This window comes from Homo sapiens, chromosome 9 (genome assembly GCF_000001405.40).
Source record: "Homo sapiens chromosome 9, GRCh38.p14 Primary Assembly".
Taxonomy (NCBI): domain Eukaryota; kingdom Metazoa; phylum Chordata; class Mammalia; order Primates; family Hominidae; genus Homo; species Homo sapiens.
In genome coordinates, this window is record NC_000009.12 from 120,960,712 (window position 1) to 120,987,072 (window position 26,361).

The 26,361-nt window shown below is 40.3% G+C and overlaps 1 protein-coding gene across 2 annotated transcripts in view, besides 2 other annotated features; it reads right to left on the bottom strand.

Annotated features, from left to right (window-relative positions):
- The window catches only part of C5 (complement C5), a 122,531-nt gene that overhangs the window by 8,377 nt on the left and 87,793 nt on the right, over nucleotides 1-26,361 (bottom strand). For both annotated transcript variants that reach the window (NM_001317163.2, NM_001735.3), the window contains exons 26-37: nucleotides 21,944-22,103; nucleotides 21,133-21,228; nucleotides 19,372-19,543; nucleotides 15,989-16,194; nucleotides 14,068-14,220; nucleotides 11,219-11,281; nucleotides 9,459-9,540; nucleotides 8,350-8,407; nucleotides 2,925-3,027; nucleotides 2,182-2,256; nucleotides 1,960-2,065; nucleotides 771-854 (exon numbers count right to left, since the gene is read on the bottom strand). In NM_001317163.2, the coding sequence (NP_001304092.1) occupies nucleotides 771-854; nucleotides 1,960-2,065; nucleotides 2,182-2,256; nucleotides 2,925-3,027; nucleotides 8,350-8,407; nucleotides 9,459-9,540; nucleotides 11,219-11,281; nucleotides 14,068-14,220; nucleotides 15,989-16,194; nucleotides 19,372-19,543; nucleotides 21,133-21,228; nucleotides 21,944-22,103 (1,358 nt within the window). The remainder of the gene's footprint in view (nucleotides 1-770; nucleotides 855-1,959; nucleotides 2,066-2,181; nucleotides 2,257-2,924; nucleotides 3,028-8,349; nucleotides 8,408-9,458; nucleotides 9,541-11,218; nucleotides 11,282-14,067; nucleotides 14,221-15,988; nucleotides 16,195-19,371; nucleotides 19,544-21,132; nucleotides 21,229-21,943; nucleotides 22,104-26,361) is intronic.
- Nucleotides 2,580-2,763: a silencer, noted in NCBI's record as "fragment chr9:123725569-123725752 (GRCh37/hg19 assembly coordinates)". NCBI's record gives its function as "represses an EF-1alpha promoter that drives an FKBP-Casp9 reporter gene in an ReSE screen in HepG2 liver carcinoma cells {active_cell/tissue: HepG2}" and the evidence as "EXISTENCE:reporter gene assay evidence [ECO:0000049][PMID:32094911]".
- Nucleotides 22,879-23,028: an enhancer, noted in NCBI's record as "active region_28913". NCBI's record gives its function as "activates an Ori minimal core promoter by ATAC-STARR-seq in GM12878 lymphoblastoid cells {active_cell/tissue: GM12878}" and the evidence as "EXISTENCE:reporter gene assay evidence [ECO:0000049][PMID:35858748]".

A 26,361-nucleotide genomic window follows, 5' to 3' on the forward strand; every position in this document is an offset into this window, starting at 1 on the left:
TTATGTATGGCCCAAGACAATTCTTCTTCCAATGTGGCCCACTGAAGCCAAAAGATTGGACACCCCTGGCATAAGACTTATTGTTAGACTGGGTGGCTACTCCACATTCAGGTCTTTAGAAATGTATGTGGTTCCCTTGATGAAAGGGGGAAATTTTCCATTTTGAGTATAATCAGAAGTCCTTTGAAGGACCCAAAATGATAATGTGACTGATTTATAGCTATAAAATGGCACAATAAGTACCTAGAAAATGTGTAGATATTGAGGATTTTGAAAAAACCAAAACTAACTGAGACCCTCATGGAGCCAGCTGTTGATTATTGGTGAGTTCTGGATCTTTTCCTTGGCCAAGAAGGCTTTCTTCAATTTAGGAAAGACTAAATGGAACTGGACAATAAACCGAATTCCATTAACTGGGAAGTATAAGAGAAAAGGAACAGAAGCTAGTGGTTCAGTGCTGAGCCTCTTGTCTTATATGATAAAAAGACTAGGTGAAAGTAAAATCTCACATCATGTTGCCCCTATAATATTCAACAACCCTCTCGATGGTGTTTCCCTGCCTCTGTACAGCATGAACTATCAGGTTGTTCAGGAACTGTGAAAATGTAGTTTTACAATGCTCAAGGAATCATTAGCTTTCAATTAGCTGAGATAGCATTTCTACTTCTGAGAAAGAACAGTTTACCAAACAGTGTCCCCCAGATTAACCTCAGGTTATGAACGACTGCTTTAAATAAGCATGCAGCCTAAATATGTTAAATAAAGTTTACCTTCTACACACTTGCACGCGGCTCCTTCACAGACTTTCTGAATTTTGATATTGGAAGTGCTATAAAACATGGTACACTGTTTATCTGTGGCAACAAAAGTGTGGTTAAGAGAAGTGGTTTGATTGAAGAACAACACATTTACTAATTGGCAAGTGTCTTACATGGAGCCTCAGAGATTGCTTATTTTAAACCCTTCTTTTTATAGCTAAGGCCCAGGGAGGTAAAATTATGAATTGGCTGTCCTGGGAAGGGTTCCGCTACCCTCAGAAAGATCTCCCCTTTTTCACTTAGTTCTGTGCTTGAAACACTCGTTTCTCAGAAATAAAACATTTGATGCTTCTCTAAGTAAGAGGAAAATAAATTATGTTGCATGAGGATCTTTTGAAAGAGTTGGAATTGTTTAGGGTGGACAAGGGAAGAAAAGCATATATCTATGTATCTCTATATATCTATCTCAAGGGGAAGAGGGACTATGTATGTTCTATGTGATTTCAGAATATAAAACTAGAATGAATGGGTGTCAGAGTTTTGGTTCACTTCAAGAATTTTCTAACAAGTAGAACTGCCCAAGGTGGAGTCATCTGTCTTGTGATCCAATAAGCTCTCCAACCACATAACATTCTCAAAAATGGCTGAATAGTCAAATGTGGGATCACCCATTCATAAATATTTATTGAGTTCACATTCTATACCCGACGCTGCGTTAGATACTAGGGACACAAGAATGAAAACACCCTGGGGTTGATGAAAAAGACATACAAATAATTGAATGCAATGTGACAGCTGCTATAATAGAGCTATCTGCAAAGTGTAACAAGAATATAGATGGGCTAGAAGTTGTTCTGGGGGGATTGAGTTGATTTCTCTCAAAAGGAGAGATATGATTTATCTGTGAACACCATAGATAAACCTGAGGCAAAGAATATTGAAGTTGGAGGCACTATAATCCAGTTATTTTAAATATGAAGAAACTGAGGACTGAGGTGAAACGGTCTGCTCAATGTCAAGAAGTAGTTTATGTACAATATTTTGTATGCAGTAGTTTTGAATGTTCAAATTGGGACTTTCATGAAGAGTGGTCCCTAAGAGAGGCAATACATAAAATTTACAGGACTCTAGTGGATTTCTAAATGTTCTGGAAAGAATACAAAGTATTCTTCTGAAGAAATGTTAGCATGGAGTTGATTACCTGGTCTGTGGTATTCGTACACTGTGAAAGTGGCAGGACTGAGAAACCCAACTTCAAAGAGTTCAAATATCCGGAATCGTACACAAAGGAAATCACTGGAGGGAATCTGTTTAACAAATTCAAGGATTTAAGGAAATTATGGAGAGATGATATTTATAATCTTTTAGCCTGTATATTTTGAATAGTAATAGTAAAGGAAAAATGGTTGCAGGTGGAGCTTACCGAATTCAGTTGCAGAATAACATGTCCATCTTTGATTTGGTAATCAGTGAATAGTTGATCCACCCCTTCCACAAGCTAAGGGGGAAAAGAGAGAAGCTTGAATTTCATTTCATTATCTTTTTGTTTAAATGCATTCACCTGTTGATGAGATAGCACAATGCAGGGATGTGATCTGTAATTCAAAGAAATTGAAGAGCAGTTCCTCTTCTTGAAAAAGTCTGAACACATTAGCATATAAACTCATATTTTACAGAGCATGCTAGTGTATGCTTCTGCTTCACTTTGATAAATCAAAACTTAGGTTAATTATGTTTTGAAAAGAATATTCTGGCCAGGCCTGGTGGCTCACGCCTGTAATCCCAGCAGTTTGGGAGGCCAAAGCCAGTGGATCACCCTGATGTCAGGAGTTCGAGACCAGCCTGACTGACATGGAGAAACCTCGTCTCTACTAAACATACAAAAAAATTAGCCAGGTGTGGTGGTGCATGCCTGTAATCCCAGCTACTCGGGAGGCTGAGGCAGGAGAATCACTTGAACCCGAGAGGTGCGGTTGCAATGAGCCAAGACTGCATCACACTCCAGCCTGGGCAACAAGAGTGAAAATCCACCTCCAAAAAAAAAAAAATATTCTGGGTGATTCTATAAAAGTGGTATATTCAAATGAAAGAAAGTAAAATTGTCTATAAAATAATTCAGAAAAGAAAATGAAGCATTCACAACACGATTTAAAAGAAAACACATACGGCTTTTAAGTCTTCTTCATTTGCACTGATTCCAGTAGGCAAGGAGATGTCCATCACCGCATGAGAGGATCCAGATGATGATTCTTCCCTGCTGGGCTTGTAGCTAAAATAAAAAAGAGGTTAGAAAATATAATAAATAAGTGAATAAGAGTCTTTAAGAAAGGACACTCTTCCTTAGTAGACCTTAATTTTTAAATTTGGGTCTCCATTTATTTGCTTTTCTACAATGTATGGGTTAAAATCTCTGACTTTAGAGTTGCAAGAGATCTTTGAGTCATCTATTCTCTTTCCTCACTTGATCAATAATCTCAACAGACCACTCTACTGGAACACAGAAGTCATCCACACCAAGCTAACTAGCTGGGGAAACTCAGGATGAGAGTAAGGCACTGGTTCAAGGTCACATGGCTAATTCATGCAGAGCTACAGAAGAATCCAGGTCTTTGGATTCTCACGTTAGTTCATTTTCTAATGAAGCATATTCCAAGGAAAAAATCAGTTGTATGTTGAAAAGAGATTCAATAAACATGTCCAGGAAAAGCTGGAAGAAAATACACTAAGGCAAGGCACGGTGGCTTACGCCTATAATCCCAGCACTTTGGGAGGCCAAGGCAGGCAGATCACTTGAGGTCAGGAGTTCAAGACCAGCCTGGCTAACACGGTGAAACTCCGTCTTTACTAAAAATACAAAAAAAATTAGCCGGGCTTGGTGGGACACACCTGTAATCCTAACTACAGGAGAATTGCTTGAACCTGGGAGGCGGAGGTTGCAGTGCGCCGAGATCGCAGCACTGCACTTCAGCCTGGACGACAGAGTGAGAATCCCTCTTTAAAAGCAAACAAACAAACAAACAAACCCACAAATATTAGTAGCTACTTTGGATGGTGAGATTATAAGCAATTATCTCTTTTCTTTTTCATGCTTTTCTCTATTTTCTATATTTCCCATAATAGCTACTTTATATAGAAAATGTTTCAAGGACTGTCCTTTCAGTAGGAATTCTGCTAGTAGGAATTTAAGCGGAAATGCAAAAAGGGCACAATGGGAGGGTTTTGTTTTTGTTTTTGTTTTGTAAGAGAGAAAAGAATACTGAAATGGAGAATCAGGAAACTTGGGTTTTATTCCAGTTCTGAGATTCCCACAAATCATTTCCCCTTTCTAAGCTCATTTTCTTATTTGTAAAATTAACTGTGAAGAAGTATAAGTTTGTGTTTTAAATTTATCTTTATAATTCCCAGGCTTTGGTTTTGGGTGGCAGAGGCTTAGAGCTACCATTAAGAGATGTTAGAAGACATAAAAGAGACAGGCTGGCGGGGCTGAGGCTGGGGCAGAGACAGACGGAGTGTGATTCTGTAAAAGTTGATTTCAGGTTCCAGCCTCACCTCAAGATGCTTGAAAGGCAGCTGGATGTTTGAGAGTGAAGCTTGGGAGAGCAGTCAGGATTAAAGGAAGAAATTAAAAGACAGCTTCATAAGGGGTAAAATGAATTGATCTCACCTACAGGTATGAATGTTGGTGGAAGAGGAGATACTAAGCAAGTTAGTGAGGGGTCAGGGCATATCTTTTCCTCAATGACACCTCATAGAGCATATATAATGCAGTCCCAGCTGGGTGCGGTGGCTCACACCTGTCATCCCAGCACTTTGAGAGGCTGAGTCAGATCAGCTGAAGCCAGGAGTTCGAGACCAGCCTGGCCAACATGGTGAAACCACTTCTCTACTAAAAATACAAAAATTAGCTGGCTGTGGTAGCTCACACCTGTAATCCCAGCTACTTAAGAGGCTGAGGCACGAGAATGGCTTGAGGCTGGGAGGCAGAGGTTGCAGTGAGCTGAGATCGCACCACTGCACTCTAGTCTGGGCAACTGAGCAAGACTCTGCCTCAAAAATAAATAAATAAATAAATAAATAAATAAATAAATAAATAAAAGCAGTCCCCATTAGAAGTCATAGATGTAATATTTGCCACAATAAAGAAAAGTATTCTAAAATCTCTGACTCATAAAAATTTAACCCTATTCTTCACCAAATTAACAATTTAGAACAGAATATAAAACACTTGGAACTCTAATGTGACATCCGAACATCTCCCTAATTGGATGGGTAGAAGCAGAGCACTCTTGCTCACAGATGCAAACACTTTGTCAGCAGGATGGAAAAGGGCCTCCCGAGTGGAGAGTGTCTATGAAAAGGTTGCTGGAGCCTTGATGACTGGTTGCCATGGAGACTGTTTCAATGGTGGAACAGAAATCCTCCTTTCAAGAAGCCCTTTGCCTGCTGCCAAAACCAGCAATCTTCCCCAAAGGCATTTTGTTGTGAGGGAAATGAAATCCTTTTTTCTTTTCTTAGGAATACAACAGAGAGGTTGTAAAAAGGTAAATACACGAAAGAGACCCTCTGAACACAGAAACTTCATGCTGGCATTTTTTAATCAGGAGAGAGAATATTTGAAGGCAAAGAAGTTCCTACATGAATAAGTACTACACAGTTCCTTTTGGAATTTACCCAACCTAACTTCAGTGTCAACAGAGCCAAAAGCATATTCCACCCGCCTTTCTGGAACATTTTGTCCCCAATTTGTAAAAACCAAAGGATAGACTATTCAAGATTGCATTTCTCCTTGCTTTCTTTTGTATATTGATAATCTGGAATTAGGCCTCCTGACAATGAAGTCAAATGAATGAATTTTTGATAACAGCTTTTTTCTGTACGGCAGAATTGTGGATAATTAGAACTGGCAGAAAACTTGAGATAAGGTAGTGCAATATCTTTGCTTTATAGAAGAGGATTGGAGAAGTAAACTGATTTCCTGAAGGTCACTGGAGTTCTTACTGGTAGAGGCTATCCCACAGGTGTCTCACCCTATCAGAGAGCTCTTCTTTATTGCAAGTCTAGATGCCTCCCTGTAGGGTCCCAGGCACTGATTCGAGCTCTGCCCAGAAGTTTGCTTACACTTCCCTTTGACAACTGTTACAAATTTAAAGGTAATTGTGATCATGCTCCTCCCCAGCTGGTAGGTGCCCAAGGGTAGGAATGGCATTTAGGGGGAAAGAAGCTGCCTGGGAAAGGGCGACCTTACTGGAAAGACATTAGGGAATGAGGAAAGATGTTTGAGCGGGAACAGAGAGCAGGGACTGGCCACAGAAGGAAGTAGGAAATGCTGGAAGGAAGAAATGCTGATGAGGAAGGAAATAGGGCTGAATAGTGAAGGAATCCTAAGAAGCGATTGGGCTTGGGACATAGAGAAGACTGGGAAACAGCTGGGAGGGAGGCAGGGAGAAACTATGTGCTGTTCCTTGGGATTAGTGGTCTTAGATTACACTGATTGAAAGAGGTGGTTTAGGCTGAGCGTGGTGGCTCAGGCTTGTAATCCCAGCACTTTGGGAGGCTAAGGTGGGCAGACCAGCTGAGGTTAGGAGTTCAAGACCAGCCTGGCCAACATGCTGAAACCCCATCTCTACTAAAAATAAAAAAATTAGCCAGGCATGGTGGCATGTGCCTGTAATCCCAGCTACTCGGGAGGCTGAGGAAGGAGAATCACCTGAACCTGGGAGGTGGAGGTTGTAGTGAGCCGAGATCACGCCACTGCACTCCAGCCTGGGAGACAGAGTGAAACTCCATCTCAAAAAAAAAAAAAAAAAAGATGTGGTTTAGATACTGGATTGAACATCAGAGGTTGGGGATTTGAGCCCCTAGCTCTGCCTCTAACTCTGTGAGCATTTGGCAGGCGACTTTATCTCTTTGGGTCTTAGTTTCTTCATTTCCAAAACAAGAGGATTATGATATCATCCCTAAGGTCCTTCTCAGCTCTCATCTTTTGCACAACACTATTGAATTTCCAAGTTATCCACACTGGGTGCATGATTATAAGTAAAATCAGCAAAATGCCATCCACAGATATCACTGTTATTGACAATACAAGAGTTAAGAAAATAGAACACAATAGAAAGGACTGAGGGACGATGGAAAGAACAGGGAAGAAGTCTGTGTTTCAGTCCTGGCTCTACCACTCTCTGATCACACTGTGTGATCACCAAAGCCAAAAGTATATACATATTTTCAAATACCTACATATTCTTTTCTTTTTCTTTTTTTTTTTATTTGGAGACAAGGTCTCAATTTTTCGTCCAGGTTGGAGTGCAGTGGCGTGGTCACAGCTCACTGCAGCCTCAACCTCCTGGGCTCAAGCAATCCTCCTGCCTCAGCCTCCTGAGTAGCTGGGACTACAAGTGTGTGCCACCATGTCTGGCTAATTTTTAAAATTTGCTGTAGAGATGGGGTCTGGCTATGGTGCCCAGGCTGTTCTTGAACTCCTGGGCTCAAGCAATTCTCTCTCCTTGGCCTCCCAAAGTGTTGGGATTACAGTATGAGCCACTGTACCCGGCAAAAAACCTACACTTTCATAAATGTTTTAGGATGGTGGCTGTGGTAAGCAGAATAATGGCCCCCAAGGGTGTCCATGTCCTAATCCCCTGAACCTGTGAATATGTTACCTTATGTGGCAAAGAGAACTTTACAGATGTGATTAAATTAAGGATTTGAGATAGGGGGTTATTTGTGCAGGCCTAATGTAAAGACAAGAATCTTTATGAGGAAAGGAAGCAGGAGAGTCAGAGAAGGAGGTGTGATGATGGAAGCAGAGGTCACAGTCAGATTGGAAGATGCTGTGACACTGGTATTGAAGACAGAGAGGGGCCACAAGCCAAAGAACACAGGTAGCCTCTAGAATCTGGAATAGGCAAAGAAATTCTAGAGCTTCCAGAAGGAATACAGCCCTACCCAGCTCCTTGATTTTGGGACTTCTCACCTCTAGAATTGCAAGATAGTAAAACTGTGTTGGTTTAAACCATTACATTTGCAATAAATTGTTACCTAGCAATAACAGGAAACTAATACAGTGGCCAATTGAGGCCTCGGTATTTAGTTGGGAGAGGGTTTAACATCAGTGGTTCTCAACCCTGGCTACCATTAGAATGACCTCTGGAGCCCGGGACATTTGGACAGCTCTAAGAGCTCTCCAGCTGACTTCAATGTGCAGCTTGAGTTGAGAATCTAGCTGATAATGGATTTTGTTAGGTAAATGTGATTTTTCTAAGTAAGAGAGTAGGGGCTGTTTTTGAGAGAATCTTTTATATTTTTTTCCTAATTTTTTAAATCACATTTCTATCCCTCTGAAAGAGAAAAAATTAATATTACACTGTTTGAATCAGAAGACAAAACAGACAGAGAAAACTATTATGAGCAAAACCAAGGCTGTTTTTTATGGTAAGTAGCAATTTAAGAATATATATGTTCTGCATTTTTAAACAATTGAACAATTTTGTATCTTCTGGACATACCAAAATTTGAAAATATGTAAAGAAACAATACGTTAACAAAAATGAGAACTTGGAGTCTATGCTCCCCTTTGTGGAAATAGGCTCACCTGGCACATGCTACTATGCGTTTGTAATCAGAGTTTCCGTAGCCTCTGTAGTGGGATGCTGGCACATAAGACAAGAAAACAAACAGACAAATATAAGAGTAAACTGTTTTCAGCTGCTTTGGAACCTGTCAGAACAGAATCATTAATGAGCAAATCTTTGAACACACTTAAAAATGATTTGTGATTTGGAAGTTTAGATACTTTCAGTGGTTCTAATGGAAATTCATGGCTATTGACAATACCAGGAAGTCTTTAAATAATTAACAGTTCATTGCTCTCAAATAACTTATAATTTAATGAAGAAATTATTAAAGATAAATATGTATTGGTAATATGTTTGGGGGATGTTGGAGGGAGGAAGAACAGATGCCTTAATTTGCTGGTAGTTGGGAAGTTTCCTGTAGGAACAGGCTTCTGAGCAATAGATGGAAAATATCAGGGCAGAGGCAGCAACATTCATTCTGACCCTGGAGGCAATGGGGAGACCAGGAGGACTGGAGTGTGCAAGTGGACTTGCTTTTGGACCAGGAAGGGAGAACCAACCAGCAGAGGGATGTGAGGGCCTTGGGTTAAATAAAAGGGTCAGGGGTACATTTAAAGAAAGGATGGTACAGGAGAGACTAAAAAAGAAAGGGGTACAGGAGAGACTAAGTTAAAGATGGAGGCAGAGAAATGTTTATTTTCTGGGCCCCTTGGAATACAGAAAGGCTAAGGGATGGAAAACTAACAGGGTGATAAGAGAATTCAAGGTCCCAGATTGGAAGGCTAACACAAAAGTAACAGAAATTCCTGGTTCTGGAATTAGACCTTAATGTGGCTTTACAACTAGTTACACTCTTTAAAAATAACATAGTCAAAACAATTTATTGATCAATAGCAAATACATTTAGCTTAGTCATTGTTATTTAATATTAGCTTCCGACTATATTAAAGAGTTATCTATTGTAAAAAATGGAAGTAATATTTACTTGGATGTCAACCTGCTAAAGTATTTGGTTAAGAAATTTCACTTTTTGAGTAAGCACATTTTTACTAATCAGAGAAGCTCTCTATTTATACACATGCTTTATTTTTAGCCAAAATTACAGCGTAAATCCTGCTGTTTTTACCTTCAATATCCTGAGTATCGATTTTCAAATAAAAGCTGCAAACTTCCTCAGAGGTACTGGTTTTGTGAACTACAGTTGTTACCTACATTGGGGACAAGTAAGCAAGAAGATTCTATTTAAAGTGGGAAAGTGACAAAGGTATTATGGCAACACTGCTGCTGCAGATGGGATGCTCGAAGGATCATTTTCATAATCCAGCACAAATGGTGTACATTAGTGACTCATTTTTCCAGCAGCTGGACTTTAAGCAAACTCCATAATCTAAACCTGAGAGGCCCAAAGTAAGCAAAAAATGACTTCTGGCCGGTCAGAAGCTTGGTCTAAATTCCATGCAGTCAAATCTGGGCACCTCACTCTACAGGAGAGTTCCCAAGGTTCTTGTTTTGAACCTTTCCACTTTAATTTTACACACAACAGCACAAGGCTAAGAAGTGTGGGTTTCTTCCAGCCACACGCCATCATGGCAAACAACAAATTATAGGTGTGTATGAATGGGCAGAGGTGCTGCCAGAAGTAGATATATTGACACCAACCAGAAGTGGCAGAAAAGTGGACAATCTCTCCTCCCCCATATAAACTTACAACAGTCCTTGAAGGAATGAATGCACTAAAGATAAGAGCGTGATTAAAATTATTAATAGGATGTTAATTTATGCTCAGAACATGCAATTTAAGAATGCATGAAAATACTTAAACAGCCTAGAAAAATTTGCACCTGCCAGCTGGGCGTGGTGGCTCGCGCCCATAATCCCAGCACATTGGGAGGTCAAGGTGGACGGATCACTTGAGGTCAGGAGTTTGAGACCAGCCTGGTCAACATGGTGAAACTCCGTCTCTACTAAAAATACAAAAATTAGCCAGGCGTAGTGGCATGTGCCTGTAATCCCACCTACTTGGGAGGCTGAGGCAGGAGAATTGCTTGAACCTGGGAGGCGGAGGTTGCAGTGAGCCAAGATTGCACCACTGCACTCTAGCCTGGGTGACAGAGCAAGACTCCATCTCAAAAAAAAAAAAAAAAAGAAAAAAAATTGCAACTGCCAAGTGGCTAAAATGAAGAAATAAGTCTTTATGAATAACACATAAATCCCCCAAAATCCTGGATAAATGAGATGGGATAGAAAACATATATATATACAATGCACATATGTACACAGATATATGTATATACACATATGCCATATGCGTATACACATATATAATCATAAAATTATATATCTCTATAAATATATATAATTTCTATAAGTATACAGAATGTATACATATAAGGATTAAATTTTTTTGTGTGTGTGAGACGGAGTCTTGCTCTGTTGCCAGGCTGCAGTGCAGTTGTGCCATCTCGGCTCACTGCAACCTCTGCCTCCCAGGTTCAAGTGATTCTCCTGCCTCAGCCTCTGAGTAGCTGGGAATACAGGCGCACGCCACCATGCCCGGCTAATTTTTTGTATTTTTAGTACAGACGGGGTTTCACCGTGTTAGCCAGGGTGGTCTTGATCTCCTGACCTCGTGGTCTGCCCGCCTAGGCCTCCCAAAGTGCTGGGATTAAAGGCGTGAGCCACCATGCCTGACCAACATTGTTATTTTCAAAAAAATTGTGAGGATAGTTACAAAGATTGCTAGAAAGATTTACATAAGTGAATCCCACTTTAGTCATGGTTACCCAAGCCCAGATTTCTGTGACTTTGTGGCAAAGCTCCTAACTTTTATGTTACCTAGTACAAATGGACACATAACTCGTTATTGGATATCAATTAAATACTTACATGTACTGTAGCCAAGCCACTGCCAAATCCTGTACTGACAATGAGGTCATCATTGAGAAGCACCTGGAAAGATAATAGAGAAACAAACCATGCTTTCTTTCATCATTTGATAGGGAGGGAGGATAGAGCTATGAAAAGTGGGTTGACATGTACCAGCCTCCTCTCTCAGAGCTCTTCTGAGAGTAACTGGATGAGACACTGAAAATCCTATGCCCATGGCAGGTGCTAAACAAGGCTGGTATTTCCCCTTTCCCTTCTACATGTAAATAAGATGTCTGAGATCTCCTGAGTGAACCAACAAAAGCAACATGTCAGAGGTCACTTCTGGTTACATTTTCATTTACATATGGCTATGGTAAATCTGGATCTTCATCTCCTTTTGCCAACTGAATAAATTCCTTTCTGTGCCTAGCTCAGGAATCAGCATCCTGTGTGCCAATGGAGATCGTTTTCATTAGAACCCAGAGCAGGGAACCTCCACATAACTTGAAAGCGGGTGCATCTATCTTTGGTCCTCTCTGAGCTCCTCCTTTGCACCCCTTTTCCATCTCTTGATGATTTATCTTTTCCACTTGTCACCGCCTTTGTTTGCAGAAACCCCTGGTACCCCACCCCAAACCACTAGCACCCCACTCAAGCCTGCCAAATCCTTAGTTGCTGCTGCTCTTCTTCCCACTCTGCTAGGAGGAAACTGAAGACATAAACGGAGTTAAGTCATTCTCCTCTCCAGAGAAACTCTGTCATCCAAATGCTCCCTAATTTGTGGAAAGTACAGGAGAGATAATTTTGAGCCCGAGGGGTTGGCACTTCCTTTACTCCAAGCCTCCCCTTTCCTTTGCTTAGCACAATAATGCAAGATGGATTGGGCATATGTTAAAGTTTCTCAATCCTTCCTTCAAATTTTAGTAAATGTAGGAAAGTAGGTCAACATTCTTGTTCTCCCTGATAGAATATAGCAGCATTTGTTGGAAAACAGGTGTCTTGAGATACTGCATGTGAAAAGCATGCATGACAAATAAGTTTGGGAAATGCTGTGCACTGTGCCCTGCCTCTGCCCCTTTTCACACCCAGAGTCACCACACTTAATCACATACATGTTACAGAACAGGGGAATTCTGGATTAAAGAACTTGTTTAACTTAATTTAAATTAATTTGTTTAACTTAATTAATGCACACTCAACCACCTAACACTCTTTCATGGAACACATTTCAGGAAATGCTGGAGTAGAAAATTCCACACTGGATAATAACAGCCCAGGTTTTACATGGAAGCAGCATCCTGGGCTGGGGTTTAAATTTTGTTAGGATGACAAGAGGCCTCTTACAGCATTATCCCTATAGAGAAGAATAATTTCAGCTACCTCAGGTAGCTGGAAGGTCAAGAGATCCTTCTTAGAGCTTAGACTCAGAACATGAATCTCCGGTGAACTCTAAATGATCCCAGGGAAAGGAGACATATTCCCAAACTAGGGACCACAAGCACAAATGCCTGCAGAGGCCCGGGCACAAAGCAGGTATGAACATAAATGCACATGCATACGTCCTGTGACTGGTGGGGACTGCAGTAAATTGTAGAAGCCATGCCAATGCCTGGTGCTTTGCTTTCAGGTCTTTTGGTTTATCAAGGGAAGTTGGGAATCAGGTTTTTATTTGAAATATCTGGATCCTTAAATGTTGGCATATATCTATGTCTATGTTTATATCCATATTCTTTTTTTTCAGTATGGGCCACCAGTTTGCAATTTTTGCATTAAATTTTATTTCTCTGCTGGGCATGGTGGCTCACACCTGTAATCCCAGCACTTTGGGAGGCCAAGGTGGGTGGATCACCAGAGGTCAGGAGTTTGAGACCAGCCTGGCCAAATGGTGAAACCCCATATCTACCAAAAATACAAAAAATGAGCCAGGTGTGGTGGCAGGCGCCTATAATCCCGCCTGCTTTGGAGGCTGAGGCAGGAGAATTGCTTGAACCCAGGAGGTTGCAGTGAGCCGAGGTTGCGCCATTGCACTCCAGCCTGGGCAACAAGAGCGAAACTCCATCTCAAAAAAAAAAAATTATTTCTCATGCTTGTTTACTTTTAACAAACACCAATTTGTGAAGGATGTCAACAATGAGGATTATTTCCAATTACTGTACATTTAAATATACTTTAAAATAATGCAAACACAGTAATTAGAAAAATATGTATCAGCAGCTATATGTGGGCAGCTAATATTAATATAGAACCCAGTTTTTCCAACATGTCTTGTTCTTTGTGAAATTTTCATAAGCCATCAAAGTTACCACCTTTAAAAATCCAGCAGTAGCAAAGGACATGGGGCAAGGAGCTGGGGACCCTAAAGGCCAACTCCAACCTGGCCACAGTCTGCATGTATGACCAGGGCCAGAAGGGACCACCAGCAGCCTCCCAGACATGCCTTCCCTCCTACGCTCACTGTACTGCTCTGTGCGCTGTTATCTATGTCTGGAATGTTCTTCCTTTTTCTTCACTTGGCTAACTCATTCTGATTTTTTCAGATTTAACCCACACATCTGGACACATCTGACAAACTCCCTCCATCTTTCAGCCAGGATCAGGAGGGCCCCTCTGTACTTCCATGTACCTATCAAGACTCTTATTTTTCACTATCTGCTTAAATGACAATCTCCCTGCACTACGCTGATTGTTTGTGTTTTATTTTTGAATCCTCAGTGCCCAGGATATAGCAGGCATCCCTGTTTAGGACATAGCTGACACTCAATATATGTTTAAGTAGTGAAGAGATAGATTTATAAAATAAAGAGTGGAACAGATGATTTCAATGGTCTCAGCCAATTGTAAAATACTACAGAAAGTTCTTCATTTACCTCTACTGGCCTCCCAAGGAAATTCTTGTCTGTCATTTTATAATTATGTAAGGCACCTTTATGCTTGTAAGAAACATCGATGTCCATACTCAAGCGGAGTTGTTTAACCAGGAGTGAATATTCCGTCAGGCCCTCAATGGCATTGATTGTGTCCTGTCAGCAATCAGCAAGGCACAAAAATATGTTTAGTTTATTTATGTACTCCCTATTTACAAATGCCCTTTTTATGAGAGGGTAGGGCAGCATTGTCTGGAGATGAAACTCCAGCTGACTCAGTAAGACTGGTTAAGAGCCCCATTGTGGAGGTGGAAGAAAGGTCTCTCCCTCCTCAATAAAGATGCTGTTAGCAGGGACAGGAAGGAAGTGTGGCCTCAGATCTGGGTCCTCTATATATTCTGCAAATGTAACCTCAGGCAAGTCACTGTTTGCAGAATTCATCTGAGTCTTTGAACAATTATCTCTTCCTCATCCTTTAGTCTGACCTTAAGTATCTCCACAACAAGGCCATAAACTCCCCTTTCCCGTTATTCTCTGTTTTAAGGTTCCCTTTTTGCCCTTTCTAGCATTCATCTCAATTTGTAATGCTTTTATTTATAGTTTATTGTTGGCCTACCCCACTGCAATATAAGATTTGTGAGGCAAGTAGGTAATATATTTTTCTTGGTGCCTGCTGTGGTTTGAATGTGTCCCCCAAAGTTCATGTGTTGGAAAGCTTGGTCCCCAATGTGGCAGTGTTAGGAGGTGAGGCCTAATGGGAGGTGTTTGGGTCATGGGGCGTACCACTTTCATAAATGGATTAATGCTGCTTATTATAGAAGTGAATTTGTTATAAAAAGATGAGTTTATACTCCACTCCCACCAACCCTCCACTCTGCCTTCTCTTTGCCCTTCCACCATGGAATAATGCAACAAGAATGCCTTCACCAGGTGCAGCCCCCCTGATCTTGGACTTCCTAGGACCCAGAACCATGAGGTAATAAATTTCTGTCCATTGTAAATTATCCAGTGTGTCGTTTTTTCTGTTACAGCAACACACAATGGACTAAGGCAATGTCCATTGCATTTAGCAGGTACATAAATATTTGTTGAAGGAATAAATGAATAAACTTTATCTTTCTGGACCTCATCTTTCTCATCTATAAAACTGAGAAACATGACTAGATCAGAGATGTTAAACAATGTGGCCATTCCCTCTGCCTATATCTGTGGCGGCAAATGCTAATCAATAGGGCAGTCTTTTCTGCTAACCCTATAATTGTACCCAAAATAAAACACATTACATGGTCAGTAAATTAATACTGAAGGCCCTCTCTACATCTAAATTACATATATATAAATATACACACTCCATCATTATCTAAACATCCAGGCAACAGGGAAGATATTAACATTCGATCTAAACTTTGAATATAAACATGTATTATACGACTACATAATAATTAGTTGTAATAAAAATACATACTCAAATGAGTTTACATTAAATAGCTAGATAGATTAACATGTAACAATCAGTATTTCTCCCACTTTTTATTTATTTCGTTGTGGAGAAGGAGCATCAGTACCTTTGTCTACATGGCAACCACTATTTATTACATAGGATATGATATAATTGCCAATAACCTTACTAGCCTTTCATGGTGATTTAGAATCATGAAGGAAGTACTGGGCTTAAAGTCAGGAGACATGAGTTCTGATTCTGGCTCTGCCATGAATTCCCTGAGTAAAACTCCCTGGGCTAATTTCCTCTTCTGTATAATAAGAGTGTTGACGCAGATAACCTGTAGGGGTCCTTCAATTCTAGGCATTATTCATATCTATTGCATGCTCATTTGGTGGACAAAGGCATGGAGGCCAGATGAGTGTGGTGGGGGAGAAAATAAAAATGTCTACAGGGAGATGAAACAAGACAAAGAAATGTTACCTGGGTTGAATAAAAGCCACCTCCATACCTCTGCTCTTCTGATAGCCATTTGATGACTGGGTTAACATAATTTATATCTTTCAAGTTCAGACTGGTGAGTAAAGCATAGGCAGTTGTTTCTACCATACGTGCCGTACCAGTGTTAGGTACAGAGCTGTCTTTATGCTGAAGATTGTCTTTCCAAAAACGATAAATGGGTGGATTACCTGAACATCAACAAATTCCATTCATTAATATGATTAAAAATGTGAATTTGACATAATAATTCTACCAGGTGTATTATGGCCTTCCAGTTTCTAGAAGCTACTTACTTTTTCTTGTTAGAGGAACTTCCTGAAGATGACCAATGCAAAACGAGATCCCTTAATATGGTATTACTTGTCTTTACACATTGAGCATCCCTAATCTGAAAATCTGAAATATGAAATGCCCCCAAAATCTGAAAGTTTTTGAGCTCTGACATGATGCCACAGGTGGGTAATTTCACCCCTGACCTCATGTGATGGGTCACAATCAAAATGCAGTCAAAACTTTGTTTCATGCACAAAATTATTGAAAATAGTGTGTAAAATTACTTTCAAGCTGTGTGTAAAGTATATATGAAACATAAATGAATTTCATGTTTAGACTTGAGTCCCATCCCCAAGATATATCATTATGTATATGTAAATATTCCAAAATCTGAAAAAAATCTGAAATCTGAAATACTTCTGGTCCCAAGCAGTTCAGATCAGGAACACTCAACCTATTTTTTGTTTTTTTTGTTTGTGTGTTTTGAGACAGGATCTTGCTGGCACCCAGGCTGGAGTGCAGTGGTGTGATTGTAGCTCACTGCAGCCTCAATCTCTTGGGCTCAGTGATTCTCCCACCTCAGCTTCCTGAGTGGCTGGGACTATAGGGGTGTGCCACCATGCCAGGTTATGTTATCCAGCCTGGTCTCAAACTACTGGGCTCAAGCAATCCTCCTACCTTGGCCTTCCAAAGTACTGGGATTACAGGCATAAGCCACTGCACCCGGCCTCAATCTGTATTTTAAAATCAACATAGTACACATGTACTAGGAAGGGGCAGTTTAGTAGAGTCGAAAGTGCAATAAACTGGTATTGCACCCAGCTTCTAGTCTTTCTTTTGTTGCTAACTTACCATGTCACTTTGGGCAAATTCCTTTAGTTCTGTGTGACTCAATTTCCTAATACCTATAGTATAGATAATACTTTCTTCCATGCAGTGAAACTCAAATGAAATACTAAAGTAAAAGATTTTGTAAACTAGAAAGCACCATGCATATATAAGGGATTATTATTATTATTATTATTACTGACACTAAAAAATAAACTGGAGAACCTTTTTCCTGATAGGAAAATTTACATCCTGGAAATTATGAGATTAAACCTAAAGCCTTAGTTCAGTCTTTCATTATTTCTTTCCAATTTAAAGCACTCAAGACAATTTCGTACATGCAGCACTTTTCATAAATTAGGCTGTAAATTATATTTGTTATTTAAACCTGTAAACCTCAAATCCTTTTTGGAACAAACTATTTGTTTTAAAAAAAGTAATGCATATTTGGAAATCATATTTGAAGGTTAGTAAAAATTTTGATGTGTATGTTTATAATTCATAACTACATTATTTGCATGACCTTGAAAATGATATTGACCCTTCCTCTCAGAGTCTCAGATTTGCTGTATTTAAAATGAAGAGTTGAGTTTAGGATTTTAAAGAAACCCAACTGGAACAACTCTTGGATTATTAAGTTCCCTTCTAGATCTTAAATTTTATGATTTTATGACCCATATCTCACAATACCCAAGACATTTCTTTTGTGTTATTTTTGAAGTATCGTACAAGTGGTTTTGAGGCATATGTTAAAATATAGTAATTTTAAAATGATGGCACAAATCATATTTTGTAGATGGTCATAAACCTCAGTAAGATTTATAAAGCCTTAGCTAGAAGAGGACTCCAAAGTGCCCAACCATGCTAATAATCACTGCTACTCTCTTTCTATTTTTTGTCTCTTGACCTATAGGAAGCAGTATCTTTATTCTTCAAAACCAAACACATACTTTTATAGCAAACCTGGTAAAATATAAGCCAGGTCATGCACTCCTTTGCTCAAAATCCCCCAGTGGCTCCCCTTTTCACTCTCAAAGCTGAAATTAAAGTTCTAGGGCTCCTTCTGGTCCCCACAGCACATTGCTGTGGATAAGACATGGGCACTCCTTGCTCTAGGTGGAAGCAGCCCTAAACTAGGGTATGTGGCCGGGGGAGTGGAGCACAGGCTAGATTTCAGCCTCGATTCACTTGATTGCTTAGGTACTTTGTCCACGGCACAACTGTTTACAGAAGCCCTGAAGAGTCTCTCTAATGCCTTAAATGACCTTCCCTTGCTCCCTCACTTTTTCCTTACCTGACCTCACTTCCTACTCCTCTTCTCACTCCTCTGCAGTCACACTGGCCTCCTTGCCATTCTTGGAGCACCAGGCATGCCCATGCCTCAGGGCATTTGCACGTGCTGTTCTCCACCAGGTACTTCCTTCTAGATAGCCACAGGAATTGCTTCTTCACCTCCTTTCAGCTCTTGACTCAAACACCATCCTCTTAGTGAAACTTAAGCCCAGTCAGCTTGTCTAAAATTACAATGCATCCTCTCACCTTATTTTCTTTCCCTGCTCTATTTTTCTTCATATCAGCCATCACCATCTATTCATAAAGCTTTATTTATTTATCATGTTTGTGTCTCCCCAGTTAGAATTTAAGTTTCATGATGGCCTGGATTTTGGGGAGCCTGTTTTGTTTATTCCTTTATTCCCAGAGACTGGAATAGTGCCAGGTATATAGGGGGTGTCCAGGGTGTACATAGGATACTCAATGCATATTTATTGAATAAAGGAATAAATAGAGGACAGGTGTGGTGGCTCATGCCTGTGATCCTAGCACTTTGGAAGGCTGAGGCAGTAGGAGTGCTTGAGCCCAGGCATTTGAGATCATCCGGGGAAACACAGTGAGACTCGTATCTGCAAAATATAAAAAAAAGTAACTGGGTTCAGTGGTGGGCACCTGTAGTCCCAGCTACTGAGGTGGGAAGATCACTTGAGCCCAGGAGATCGAGGCTGCAGTGAGCCACGATCATGCCACTGCACTCCAGCCTGGGTGACAGAGCGAGAACCTGTCTTAAAAAAAAGAATAAATATTTGCTGAATGAATGCATGAATAAATGAATGAATAACGGCACACATTACATCGTATTGTGACGGTTTGTTCCTTGAGGACAGGAATTGCATCTTACTCAAGTTCACATGTCACCACCCACTTCCCAGACTAGCAGACTTTATGTCTTAGTGAACACTCACTGAATACATGTATGGAACAAGTTATACCTTTAACCAAAGCTTCTCTCTTCAAAGCTGAAACAATTGAACGAAACTGTGGGTGAGTTTTATCTCCCAGGGAAAGAGCATACGCAGAAATGGCCAATGTAAAGGTGCTCTGGGCTGGCAGTGTATTTTCAAGCAGAAAGTTGTCAGCTTTAATTAGAGCTGTGTCGATTTTCTGGAAACAAGAGAAGATACTTCAGTTTCTATGTCAAGCAACCACCTATCAATTGATATGAACTACCCTCAGATCCCACTATCCTGGAGCAAGCAATATGGGGGTGAAAAGAGGACTGACCTAATGGAAATGGATGGCTTCTCAGTGAAGCAAATCCCTCCGAGAGAAGGAGCAGAGCATAATCTTGGAAGGGACAATGAGGTTGTCCAAATCAGGTTAAGCTTTTTGCCTCTGAATTCTCACTTTCCTTTTAGAGGTTTTGTGCCTTTAGTTTCTGAGTACACCGTCAGACCTAGCCTCCAGGAAGAAAAGGCACCGAGCATAGACACAATTTCTTTTTTTTTCTTTTTTTTTGAGACGGAGTCTCGCTCTGTCGCCCAGGCTGGAGTGCAGTGCTGCGATCTCGGCTCACTGCAAGCTCCGCCTCCCAGGTTCACGCCATTCTCCTGCCTCAGCCTCCGGAGTAGCTGGGACTACAGGCGCCCCGCCACCACGCCCGGCTAATTTTTTTTTTTTGTATTTTTGGTAGAGACGGGGTTTCACCGTGTTCGCCAGGATGGTCTCAATCTCCTGACCTTGTGATCCGCCCGCCTCGGCCTCCCAAGTGCTGGGATTACAGGCGTGAGCCACTGCACCCGGCCCATAGACACAACTTTTATTGTTCCCTCTCAGCGTAGTTGCAACAGGCACACAGGTTCAAAAGGAGTTACACTTAAAAAAATAAATAAATAAAACAATAAGTAGCAGAAAGAAACCCTAACTGCCACAGTACTTTTAGATCCTAAGAATGCCTGGGTAAATAGTCCCGATCACTAGTCCTGACGCCACCAAAATGGTTGTGTTGGGCAAGTGGGCCAGCAGAAAGCCTGCTGCGATGCTGCTAACATCCTGCCTGCCTCCTCTCCCAGCTCCACATGCATCTCTCACCCATGTGGCCACTAGGTGCCTGGGAACTAGTCTTCATTGATTATTTTGTCTTGTTAAGCTTCTGAAACAAACTGAAAACAAATGGTTTTGTTTTGTGCTTCCAGTTTTGCAAATCCACTTGAGATTTTCCATCTCAACCTTGGAAATCTTCTATGTTGATTTACTTAGGTGGCTCATCACTTTTCTCCCGTTTCCAAGCAAATGTTGTTTGGAAGGATTTGGAGGATACACATTTGCTGTTGTGTATCCTCAGTACTTGCATGATACAGAATGCTTTCACTATAGGATAACAGTAACATATAAAGCAGGATTTAGCAAAGATAAGACAGAGAAGCTGGGGGCACTGGATCATTCTTCCATCCCAGTCCCAGCTATCAGTTTTAGACCCAGCTCTACAATTTATTAGCCTGTGACACTGGGAAACTGAATTCACCTTACTTAGTCCTCAGCTTTCTCAACTGCCGATGAGTAGGTTGGACTAGGTGGTCTCTAATATCTATCATTGTTCTGAAATCTTTCAATTCTGGAGTTTAAGTTATTTTCAAGTTATTGGAAAGAAGGAAAAGAAGCTTTTGAAACAAAAGGTCTTCTGATTGGTGGCCCCTCCAGTATATAGTACAGAAATAGATGATGGGTGTGAGAGAAAGAAAACTCTTACTTACCACCAGGGGGCATATATCGAAAGCCTTTCTAATTCCAATCACAGTAAAGGCTGTAAGATATAAGCTGTTCTCTCGGGCTTCAACAGGCAAGGTACCCTAAAAAGAAGCAATGTTTTAAAAGGGGAGTGAAATGGTGTCTTTAAGGCGAAATGACCTGATTCTACTCTGTTTTTTGTTTGTTTGTTTGAGATGGAGTCTCACTCTGTCACCCAAGCTGGAGTGCAATGGCTTGATCTTGGCTCACTGCAACCTCCGCCTCCCGGGTTCAAGCCATCCTCCGGCCTCAGCCTTCTGAGTAGCTGGTACTACAGGCGTGCACTACCACGCACGGCTAATTTTTGTATTTTTAGTAGAGACGGGGTTTCACCATATTGACCAGGCTGGTTTTGAACTCCTGACCTCATGATCCGCCCGCCTTGGCCTCCCAAAGTGCTGCAATTACAGGCGTGAGCCACCGCACCTGGCCTCTACTCTGTGTTTTAAGCCTTATCTCCCACTCTTTCCCTTCCTGCTTCCCATTTCTCAATAAGCCCTGGGTCTATCTCGCTTGAGTGCTTTCACTTGCCCATCTACCTCCACCCCGTTAAACGAGAGGTCTAAGATATCACTTCTCTGATCTCTAGTGAACTGTCTGAAGATCGCTTCACTTCAGATATTATGGGAAAGACCTTTGTATATTTTGCTTGTTCACAAAGGAATTTCTTGCAGAATTACATTTTTTTCTTCTTCTTCTTCATCCTCCCATAATCAGATGAGAATAAAACTCAAACTAAATAAAACTATTGCTAATTTGTGCATTTGGTTTCCTTACCTGTAATTTTATTGGTTGATACTGTGAATTTTCCTTGAAAGATCCATTATCTAATTGATAATTCTCAACTAGCCACAATAAAGAATTACAAATTGAATTTTGGTTCTGCTCTACGTATTTATTTACTTGTCCAAGTACTCTTAAAGCAAAAGCTGTTAACCTTTAAGACAAAATCAAATAAATAAATATTTAGAACGCTGAATCCCTTTTGACTTTCAATTAATTTATACAACTTTATTCTTTAAAAGAAAATAACATTTTAAAACATGCAATTCCAAAGTAAGTCATCATTTTACAAAGGAAGGGAAGATTTTTGGAATACCTCCAAAACATTCGGTAAACAAATGTGAACAGCACATCTTCTGTGATTACAACATTGTCCGCTAGCACACAAGCTAAAAATTGATTCCTGATGATAAGAATTACACTCTAAAGTTAAAGATAACAGAGATAAAATAAATAGTTTTGAGTCAAGGCATTGACCTATGAACATGAGACATGAAAGAGTAAATCACAAAATTCTAGATTGTAAAATTTGTGCATTCCATGGAATCTAAATTCCTATCTGAGGCCCCAAGTCCCCTTTCCCAATGTCCCTGGAGTGTTTATCTCACTTGTCCTTGAGTGCTGCCATTGACACAGAACTTACTACCCCACAGGAAATTTTAATGATCATTATTACTTAGTCAAAAAGCAATTTCAAGTCTCTACTAATACCCATCGAAGAGTATCAGAGAGGATTGGGTTCATCCCCCCATAACATCTCTTCACTCTCTCAGTCGCCCAGGAGGCTCCACTCCCCAGGTCCTCAAATGTCTGAGACTCAGACCACTTGACTTGCTCTCCCACTTCCCCCACTTAAAAAATTTGTGTTTCTTTTTCATTTTCATTTTTTAAATGTATTTTAAGCATTTTTTTAAAGAGGTAAAACCCTCACATGATTCAAAAATCCAAAAGTGAAGCCTGGGCGTCATAGTGAGACATTGTCTCTACAAAAAATGCAAAACATTAGCCAGATGTGGTGGCAGGCACCTATAGTCTCAGCTACTTGGAAGGCTGAGGTGGGAGAATTGCTTGAGCCCAGGAGGTAGAGGCTGCAGTAAGCTGAGATCCTGCCACTGCATCCAGCCTGAGTGAGAGAACTTAAAAAAAAAAAAATCCAAAAGCACAAAGGGATATTTTATGAAAAGTCTCCTTCTAGCAGTCCCTGTCCCCCTCCACCTCCCAACAGAAGATGACCATTGTTTCTTGTGCTTTCTTCCAAATAGTAGATACAAGATATAGCCTTCCCATCTACCTTTCCATCCCAACCACACCAAAATGGTGGGAGAATGTTTACATTATCCTGTACTTGGCTTTTTTTCCATTTAGTAATATGCCTTAGAGATCTATATTAATACATAAAGTTTCCTTGTTCTTTTACAAGTGATTTTATACATTAAATTATAGTATTTTGGTACAGATGCACCAAAGCTATTTAAGCCATTTCCCTTTCTGTAGACATTTAGGTTGTTCTCAGTCTTTGCTCTAATTGATTTAATTATTTTAAAGATTTTTTTTTTGATATTAATCGGAACTTGCCCCTCCACAACTAGGTGCCTTTTCCTAATTCTTTCTCTAGAAACATCAGAAATTTATTTTCTACTCTATTGACTTTTAGGGGGTAAGAGTTGAGAGCTCCTCTCTTTTTAATCCTCCCACACTGCTCTCAAGGATGAGAAATACTTCTACGGATTGCTCAGGTTCAAGGACACTCACATTTTCAAAGATTGGCCCACATTTTACATTGGGTCTCTCTTGGGATTTTGGCTTTTGGAAGTCTCTCTTCTTTTAGCAGGCTAGAAAGGCATATGAGTGCAGTTATACGGCCAGGCTGCCTCTCCACTTATCTATACATCTGTATATATAAAGATGCTTTAGTTACATCTTTGAAAAAAGGCAATGGCAATAAATAGAAACAACGGACTCATCCTTTGGGATCAATTATAAAGATTAAATATATGAACATACTTAAAATAGTTCTGGATTATAGTAAGTATTCAATAGGTATAAGCTCTTACTTTTTTTTTTTTTTTTTTTTTTTTTCAGACGGACTCTCTCTCTGTTGCCCAGGCTGGAGTGCAATGGCGCAATCTTGGCTCACTACAGCTTCCACCTCCCAGGTTCAAGCGATTCTCCTGCCTCAGCCTCCTGAGTAGGTGGGACTACAGGCACGTGCCACCATGCCAAGCTAATTTTTGTATTTTTAGTAGAGACAGGGTTTCACCATGTTGGCCAGGCTGGTCTCAAACTCCTGACCTCAGGTGATCCACCCGCCTCAGCCTCCCAAAGTGCTGGGATTATAGGTGTGAGCCACTGCACCTGGTTTTTATAAGCTCTTACTCCTATCTCTCTTTCTCTTTGGTACTCTTGGGTGTCTCATCCCTGGTATCCTTAAGGAGTGAGAGTCTAGACAGCACTTCCCTAAAGGTAAAGCAAATACAATTCGCTCTAGCTTTTTGCGTTCTCCTCTTCCCACTGACCTGTCCCTTGGAGACTGCCCTGAAATTCAAATTTTAAGTGTGACATGGAGGAAAAAAAGAAGTAGGCTATTTGATTTGCTTTTGTTCCAGACCCTAGGCTACCTCTACAAGTGCTTAATATGGTCTAGTTTAGTTCCTCATGTTTTACAGTAGGGTCTGGGACTAAAAATTTAGAGTAGAAAAGAATTTTTTAGTCACCTTGAAGAGAAATCTGGCAAAATCTGATGAAACTGTAAATATGCATTCCTTATGTTCCAGCAATTCTATCTCCTGGGATATACCCTAGAGAAACTCTCACACATGTGCACAAAGAGACATATGAAGATGTTCATTATCATATTGTTTGTAATATTAAAATTTGGAAATGGTTGTCCATCAAGATAGGAATAGATAAAGAATATATACTATGTGATATATTTGTAAAATAAAATACTGCATGGCAATGAAAAGGAGTGAGCTATATTTACCTATACTACTAGATCTAAAGTAACTAAAAAGTATTAAAAGAAAAAGGTAAGTTACAGAATGATAGGTATAGTATGATACTAGTTATAATCATTTAGAAATACAAAAAGGGACTGTAAACCCATCACTTCATTTTGGAAGCAAATAACCATTCTTTCTTTTACAATGCTTAACTTTCTTAAACAGTGCTTACTTAAGAATTCCAGGAACTAGCCATGAGATAAAAATCAAGGATGTGAAATGTCCCCTGGAGAAGAAAAATACTGAGCAGTTAATCTACAAACCTGTTTCAGTCTAGCTGACCACTAGATGGCCCGTTACTCAAGATAATAATCAGAACAAGACATGCTGACCTGTACGTAGCTAACTCTTGCACACAGTTTTCCAAGCCCCTTCCTCTTTAAAATCCCTCTGGCCAGCCTAGGGCATTTGGGATAGTTTCCTGACTCTAGTCTGCCATCTCCTTGGGTTGCTGGCTCCTGAATTAACCTGCTTTTCCTCCCACCAACCTTAGTCTCTTGAGTTTGGCATTTGAGCAGTGAGCAGCCAAACTGGAGTTAAGTTACAGCTATATGATTTCATGTATATATATACTATATAAAATATTAAAAATGTTCTGGAAAGATGCATAAACTCATGATAGTGAATGCCCTTGGGGGAAAGAAACAGAAATAAGATGGAGGCTTGTAGTTAAAGAGAAAAGTTCAATATCCACAATGTTCTTTAAAAAAAAAAAAAGACGAATATAAAAAATGTTCATCATCATCAATTTTGGGTTTTGCTAATATGAATGATATTCGTACTTTAAAAAATCTGCTTTGTATTTCTCAAGAAAAGTTTGAGGGTATTTAGGTGCTGGACATTTTCTTCTATGTCTATTATTTCTTTCAAGGAACTCATGGAGTTGGGTGTATGTTTCAGTCTTGCCCCAAACTCTTGAAAGGCTCTGAGTGTTTACTGAGAGGCTGTTGTACCTTCCTGTGGGGCTTTCTGCTCTCCAGGCATCTATTTCCCAGGTCCTGCTGTGTCAGTTTCCAGTCTTCATTGACACTCACTCCCACTCCTGCATCCTGGGTTATCCTCTGGTTGGTGTGCTGCAGGGGTCTATGAGCCTTTTATTTATTTTTTTATATTTTTATTGTTTTATTAAAGACAGGGTCTCCCTATGTTACCCAGTCTGGTCTGGAACTCCTCTGCTCAAGCCATCCTCCTGCTTCAGCCTCCCAAAGTGCTAGGATTATAGGTGTGAGCCACTGTATCTGGCCCTGTGTGTCTTTTGAAGTGTGTCACCCACACATGGTCAGACCTAATCCTAAGGTATAATCTATGGAACTTGGTAGCTGATCAGAGGTAAAGCCAAAAGGAAAGGAAGGAATCAAAAACCAACTGATGATTCTGACTTGATCCATGGGGGACAAAGGGCAGGGTATT